The sequence below is a fragment of the Homo sapiens genome, chromosome 10 (assembly GCF_000001405.40).
Source record: "Homo sapiens chromosome 10, GRCh38.p14 Primary Assembly".
NCBI lineage: Eukaryota > Metazoa > Chordata > Mammalia > Primates > Hominidae > Homo > Homo sapiens.
Genome location: NC_000010.11, coordinates 124,695,519 through 124,702,266, shown reverse-complemented (window position 1 = coordinate 124,702,266; position 6,748 = coordinate 124,695,519). Strand labels below are relative to the sequence as shown.

The 6,748-nt window shown below is 54.5% G+C and overlaps 1 protein-coding gene across 1 annotated transcript in view, besides 5 other annotated features; it reads left to right on the top strand.

The window, feature by feature from the left end:
* The window catches only part of FAM53B (family with sequence similarity 53 member B), a 125,087-nt gene that overhangs the window by 42,112 nt on the left and 76,227 nt on the right, over window positions 1-6,748 (top strand). Inside the window, exon 3 of the mRNA NM_014661.4 lies at window positions 6,055-6,109. Coding sequence (NP_055476.3) covers window positions 6,055-6,109 — 55 coding nt within the window. The remainder of the gene's footprint in view (window positions 1-6,054; window positions 6,110-6,748) is intronic.
* Window positions 1,530-1,679: an enhancer, noted in NCBI's record as "active region_4179". NCBI's record gives its function as "activates an Ori minimal core promoter by ATAC-STARR-seq in GM12878 lymphoblastoid cells {active_cell/tissue: GM12878}" and the evidence as "EXISTENCE:reporter gene assay evidence [ECO:0000049][PMID:35858748]".
* Window positions 1,865-2,535: an enhancer, noted in NCBI's record as "H3K4me1 hESC enhancer chr10:126388301-126388971 (GRCh37/hg19 assembly coordinates)". NCBI's record gives its function as "activates a minimal SCP1, AML or CMV promoter by ChIP-STARR-seq in primed H9 embryonic stem cells {active_cell/tissue: H9 hESC(primed)}" and the evidence as "EXISTENCE:reporter gene assay evidence [ECO:0000049][PMID:30033119]".
* Window positions 2,610-2,809: an enhancer, noted in NCBI's record as "active region_4178". NCBI's record gives its function as "activates an Ori minimal core promoter by ATAC-STARR-seq in GM12878 lymphoblastoid cells {active_cell/tissue: GM12878}" and the evidence as "EXISTENCE:reporter gene assay evidence [ECO:0000049][PMID:35858748]".
* Window positions 5,313-5,562: an enhancer, noted in NCBI's record as "active region_4177". NCBI's record gives its function as "activates an Ori minimal core promoter by ATAC-STARR-seq in GM12878 lymphoblastoid cells {active_cell/tissue: GM12878}" and the evidence as "EXISTENCE:reporter gene assay evidence [ECO:0000049][PMID:35858748]".
* Window positions 5,573-5,752: an enhancer, noted in NCBI's record as "active region_4176". NCBI's record gives its function as "activates an Ori minimal core promoter by ATAC-STARR-seq in GM12878 lymphoblastoid cells {active_cell/tissue: GM12878}" and the evidence as "EXISTENCE:reporter gene assay evidence [ECO:0000049][PMID:35858748]".

The window sequence follows — 6,748 nt, the reverse complement described above, 5'->3', positions numbered from 1 at the left end:
TTTGTTTTCTAATCAGACTAAGAAGATAACAAGTGGAGGTTTAAGATTTTAAAGGAAAGCATGACTGTGGGGGAGGCCGGGACTGGTATCAGCATAGGCCACTTTGGAATTATGGGAGCAGGCCCCAGAGGCGCAGCTCACCCTGGGTCCCCAGAGTCAGGCCTTAGTCACAGAGCGGGAAAGTCTCAATGTGCAAGGGAAAGTCACCAGGGTCCTCGCAACCCTGGGTGTCATGTGGCACTGGAGGAGGAGCTCGTGGCCAATTCTGAGGCCTGTTGAGGGGTGTGAGGACTCGGTCTCCCTCCCAGCCTTCTTAGGGGTTCATGCCATGGTTCTGGTTCCCCTGTTTTAAAAAACTAAATGCTGGTGAAACAACTGTCTTTCCCTCAAAGAAAGATGTGGGAAAAAGGGAAAAAAAGGACTGACCAGTGCTCAGCATTTTGCCTTTCCCAGCACAGGGCCCACCTGCCTGGGGGGAGATGGCCCTGAGGCTCAGCTGTGCCCATGGCCCTGGCTTCGCTTGCACTGCCGGCAGCCATGGCTGGGTCCAGTTCCCCTTTCCCCCACTCTGGCCAGTGCCTTCCTCTGCTGAGTGGGCTCTTCCTTCCAGTGTTCTAACATTAGCTGCTCCCCTGGAAGGCAGCCCAGACGTTTGACCTTGGAGCACTGTGCTCCCTCAGCTCCTTCCCGCACGCCCACACTCAGGCCAAGGGCCTGTTCTTTTGTTTCCAGAGTGACCACCTCCCTTGGCCAGGCCCGCTCTTCTTTCTGCAGCCCATCCTCCCTTAAGGCTGAAGACCAAAGGGAGCTGGTGGCTGGCTGCTCCTGGGCAGAGGGCAGCATGGAGCTCCAGGCTGCCTGACTTTCCACGTAACAACCAATACTTGTCCTTTGGAGGGGCTGATCTGGTAGCTAGAACAAGCACTTCCTTCTGTACTTGTCAGATTAGGATGCCAAGGCTAAATGACTTTTCTTACCTGAGGAGTTAGTGGCCATGTCAGGCCTTGCACCCAGTTGCCTGGGCACTGGGGTTCTTCATACTTCGGGCCATGCTAAGTTGGCACTTTGAGCTCAACAGCCCCAGCCAGGATCTCTGGCAGGCCCCAGGCTGGCCTGAAGTTAGAATGTGGGAGTGCACAGGGTCCAGGGCAGCCTGATGCCTTTCACCCTGGGCAGGCAGAGATACCAAGGGGCCTGCCCATGCTTTGGCTAATCCCAGAGCCTCAGGAGTCAGGGCCAGCGTATCTCTATCCGCATCTTTGAGAGTCTTCACACAAAGGTGCTGTTCCCTCCTCAGCTTCTCTTTCTTGTCTCAGGCCTGGATCTCCTTTTTGCTTTCGACTGCCACGGTCTCGCGGGGTTGCATTTCGGAAGTGTGGGTGCTCCACTCGTTCCCCCGCAGGGCATGAGCGCGAGCCTCCCCCTGTTGCTCTGTGGCTCCCTGTAACACCGTGTCAGGAGATGGAAAAGGTGATTTGATTTCTTTAGTGGATAATGTGCAGAGCAAAGTTACCAAGAACCGTGGTTGTGGCCTGGCATTTTCTGCAGGGCCAGTTCCTCATTTGGAGCCTTAATTGTGTCTTTATTTAAGCCAGGGCTGCTTTCTTTAGTCAGACAGATGGCCCTGAAGCCTCCATTTGATTTCCAGCTTTTGCCTTTCCTACGAGGATCTAATTCCAAAAACCTTCTCTCGTGATCTGAGGAGTCTCACAGAGACGAGGCCCTGCCCCGGCGTGGGCTCGGGAACAGAGGCTTCACGGTGGGAGAAGCACAAAGGGGAAATGTGCTCTGGTCTTATTTCACTGCAGACCTCAGCTAGGGCTCGGGTGCTCGCAGAGTGCAGACACTGAGTGTCTTGTGAAACCTCAGAGGGCCGAGGGGTTCCCTCGGCCTGGTGGGGCCTCCACACCGTGATTGGCTCATTCTTCCCACTGTGGGTGCAGGAGGTTCAAAGTGTTGGAAAGGCCGTGTGTATAGGAATGGTAAATACCAGTGGGAATGTTAGCATATACTGGGAAGCCTGGGGAAAAAAAGGCCCTGGCCAACCTAGAGCCAAGCAGGAACTCTGCTGGTTTGCCCATGTGGAGTTGGACCAGGGAAACCTGCCAGCGGTCAGGGTACACTGGGGCCTGGCACCCTGGAAAGCTGTCAGTACATGACATTCTGGCCTGGCCGCCACTGGCTTAGCCTCACGGATGGGGCTCAGAAAGCAAGATGGGCCGTGATCTGGTCTTGAGGTCAAGCACGAAATCAGTCAGGGTTCCTCCTTTGTCAGCACCAGAGGCCATCTCCAGCTAACTCACCCCGAAAGAGAACTCCCTGAAGCACAGGGCGAGCTCGCAGGGCTGGAGAGGAGGGGGCCAGTCGGGCCTCAGAAAGGGCAGGGTGGGAGCAGCTGGGAGGACTTTAGAAGCAGGTGCTCACGGGCAGGCTGAGGGCCTCCTTCCTGGGCGGATCAGCCCCAGCTCTGTGGTTCAGGAGTCAGCCATGGAACCAGTGTCTGGTCAGCCAGGCTTGAGTTCTGGGCCTAGCCTGGGGCCAGGGGAGGTGGAGGCACCTTGGTTGACAGTCCCACTAAGACATGATCCAGTGACGATGAAGGTATCCCAATTCAGAATTGGGGTGCTGCTGACAGAAGAAGGGGGCCGCACCACTGGGCTGCGCGGTTTCATCTGTTCAGTGAGGAGCAAGCAGTGGCTTGCCCGGGGTGGGGAAATGGAGAAGTCGTTCTTTCGAGTTAGAAAATCATAGTGTGCACCATTGCTGGTTCATGGGAACCCTTAGGTAGAGTGTTGGAGACCGGCATGAGGAGGCCAGGCTAGCCTGCAGGGCGGCTCTGACACTCAGGCTGGCCTCTCAGCCCTTCCCCACTGAGGTTTGACTTTGCGTGAGGCCAGCGATTTTGGGAGACAGTGACTTCTGCCCAGTGAAAATCCACTTCCGTTGCCTGACATCCACTGGGTGTGTGGCTGCAGGAGTGGGACAGGCTGGCGCTGACAGGTGGCTGTAGCCATGGTGCCTGCTGTCAGCTGGGATGTTGGAACCAAGACAGCCCTCCTTTCTCAAGAAGCTTCCGTTCCCATGGAGCAGAGAATCAGTACAGGAACAGATGTTCTGATACCTGCCATGTTCATTAAATGAGGCGATGGGAGAGAGAAAAGCAGGTGGGAGGCACCGCTTTAGCCAGGATGGTCCGGCAAGGCCACTGAGGAGGCCACAGGGCAGGAACAGTGCAAAGCCTGCTGCGTGAAGATCCCGGCACAAAGCCCCTGAGATGGTAGTGACTGGCCTGGCCCCACTGGGTGGTGTGAGTGAGGAGGGGAGGGCCAGAGCAAGGTTGGGGGTACTCAGGTTGGCTCATATGGGGCCCTGTAGGCTGTGGAGGAGAGGTAGTGGCCGGGATTTGATTCTGGTTGTGGTGGGAAGTTGTTGGAACAGAATGACGTGGTCTGATCTCTGCTTTAAGAAGATGGCTCTGGGTTCTGGATGGAGGGTGGGGAATGGGGGCCGAGGGTACAGGCTGTAAGAGCGGTTAGGAGGGGCGTTCACTGGGGCTGGCAGTGGCTGGGATCAGGGCCAATGGTGGGGTGGTGAGGAGTCAGTTTTCCAGGTTAGAAATGGCAGGCCACTCTGGGGACCTGCTGCAGATGCTGATAAGTCCTCATTGAATGAATGAATGAGCAAGTTGAGTGAATGTATGAACGAGTGCCTGGGGTGCTCTGTGTGCTGGCCCAGTGCTGCCTCTGTGGGCAGACAGACCCCAGCATCTCTGGCAGTGTTCCTTGCGAAGGCCTGGGTCAGGAGGGCCCTGAGGTCCCCCTTGGTCTAGAACATGCCAGCTTGGTGAGAGGCGGCCAGCAAGCACTGTTCTGCTGGCCAGGCAGGGGCGGCTCACTACGTGGCTTCCTGCTTTGGTGTGGAAAGCCCCAAGCCCTCCTGCATGCATGCCAGTGAAGCACGCGGGGTGCTTCAGTGTTCCTGTTCAATTCTGCTCTCCCCAGCCCCCATCCTGGTGTGGCCTCTCTGGCCTCCCACCCTGGGTTACCTTCTCCCACCTGGCAGGCACGGGCTGGGGGCCGGGGTTCCCCAGGGGGTAATTTCCTTGTGCCCAGGTGTTCCCTTAGTGCTGGGAGCTGCCTTCCTTGGCAAGCAAGACCCTGGCCTGACTTCCCTCTCTGAGCCTGCAAACTGGGCGCCTGCCTGGCGTCCACAGGCTGAGCTCTCAGCTGTGCAGGCAGTGCAGCCCCAGCAGCAGTGCTCTCATGCGCTTGTCATCCACTTGCCATTGGATGACTTCGGTGTGTTCTCAGCTGCACCTCTCAGCTGGGATTGTGTTGGGGGATGGGAGGAAGCAGGTGCAGCCATTTTGAATTCTTCCCAGATATTTCCACAGATGGCGGTAGAGGGGATGGTTACATCACTGTGGAATCCAGGAGGGTGACTGAGCCTGATGATACTGTTAGGATCATTTTAAACTGAGGAGGGCAACCTGTAGGAGGACTGCCCCGTTCCCCTTCCGCCCTAGAAGCTCCTGTGGTCCTCATCAAGTGTCTAAGCATCCCCCCCAGGAGGCTGCCCCGACCTCCACCCTCATCCCAGCACACTTGCCCTGGACATCCCCTCCAGCCCTGATCTCCCTGTGGTTTGTCTGTGACCGTCTTCCATGAAGAGTGAGCCCTCCTTCACCTCTGTGTCCCCAGGTTGGTCAGCATGGACCCTTAGTAACCCCGTGGGATGAACACGGCGTTGACCTTGTGCAGAGGTCCCTGGATTGGGTGGATGGGGATGAAGTGAGGGAGCTGGTGCCAGGTGCTTGCCGCCTTCTTACCTGGAGGGGCCAGGCGTTCCTAGTCAGCCCCATCCTCCTGCCAGGCCTTAAAGAGCCAGAACCTGGGCCCTTGTCCACTTACCAGCCTGGAAGTCTTGTCTGTTTGTGTCATTTTGATATGGGGAGTGTTCAGGGTTCCTTTTAGAAGTCAGAGCCTTCTGTGACAGGCTCATTTCTCTGGGGCTAAGAGCTCCTTTCATCATTGCATGATCAACCCCCAGCACAGCCCGCCTAGGAAGAATCACCAGCCCGTGCCCACTGAGCGAGTGGGCGAGTGAGTGAGGAAGCCTTGGAGCACTTGAGGCAGAGCTCCTTCCTGGGGCTCTGGCTGGGTAGTCTCTGCTCATGAGAGGACCGAGCGAGCCTCTTGACCTGGGTATCACCTAGCATGAGGAACCCCCAGAATATTCCACACCCAGCTTACTGTGTAGCCATGGAGCAAGTGCCCTGGATTTGGGGTTCTTCTAGGCCTCGTTGGCCTATTCTGCCTGGTGGCCATAGCATTCAGTTGAGGGTAGGCGGGGGGCATCAGGGAAGCTGTAGAATGTTTGCAGTGGAAAGGGAAACCATTGTGGAAATACAGGGCCAAGGAGTTCAAAAGCCATAGCTGTTATGTTGAGACCAAATATAACCCTTGAGTTTCTGTTTCAGTTCAGAGAAAATGCCTCAAGGGGACTCGATGTAGCCACAAAACAGTCTGCAGAGCAGACGCCAGCCCTTCCGAGCTCTCCCCATGCTTCTCACCAGAGCGGGAGAGCTGTTCTCCCTGGATCTGGAAGGGAGGGGTCTCGGAGTCGGACCTGGGGCCCTCTGCTCCCTACTTGAGGTTCTTCGTGTCCCCAGGGAGGTCCCCTCCTCTCTTGGTCTCTTCTCAGCCCAGCTCAGGGAAGCTTGTTCCACTGTTTACCATCCATCCTGCCCCCGGGCCGCCTCCACATCACTTATGTGGAAAAATCCCCTCGTGTCAGAAGTCGTGGGGCTTTCTGTGTGTTTTCAAAGCCCATTAACTCGATGGACTCCATAACTCACTAGAGACTTGGGACAAAAAATCTGGGCCTAATTTTGTGCAGATGTTTTCTCTTTGAATACCTTTTCCTCCTTTCCCTGATCTGACATTGGCAAAGGACAGTCACCCTTTTATTGTGACTTTAGAAGGGATCAGTAGAGTCAGTGCAAACATGCTTCCTATGATTTGAAGAGTGAATAGCTTTTCTGGTTGTTTTCAGCACACGCCAAAGAAGATGAGTCAAGGACCTACACTTTTCTCTTGTGGAATTATGGGTAAGTACTCAAGGCCATCCTGGAAGCTGTCCTCCTAGTCCTTCCAGCCAGGGTCTGAGTCCTCCAGGTGAGACACTCAAAGCACTTTCTGGACACAAGTTCAAAAAGAGCAGCCCCGGGACTCTTCTGTGTGTTTTAACTATTTTGGTCCCCTACGGTGCCTGAGTGAAGGGACAGGCACTGGTGTGTGGTTTACAACTCCAACATTGAGAATTTCTGTCTGATGATTAAAGTAATTCATGTTGATTTTTTTCATTCAGAAAATGCACAATAGTGTAAAGTATGCAATAAAAATCTCTCGTAGCCCCAATGCCCAGGGAGAGTTACTGTTGATATTTTTGTGTATGTTTATGTTCTTAGCATTTTTTATATAGCCCATTCCACGATGAACATATAATTATGTAAAACTATATTTGTTTGCTTTTTTCACTTGGAGTAGTTACCATCATCTTCCCACAGCATTAAAATTGTTCATTCCATGCATTTTAATGGTCTACAGTACCGCATTGGGTGGTAAATGTATCAGAATGTCTTTAGTGATGTAACTACATCTAGGCTGTTGGGTCAAGAGGCTGTTTTATTTGCTGTTGTGATGAACAGTGGCTAGGTAAGTGCCTAATTCTTTGTCTGCCTTTGTGA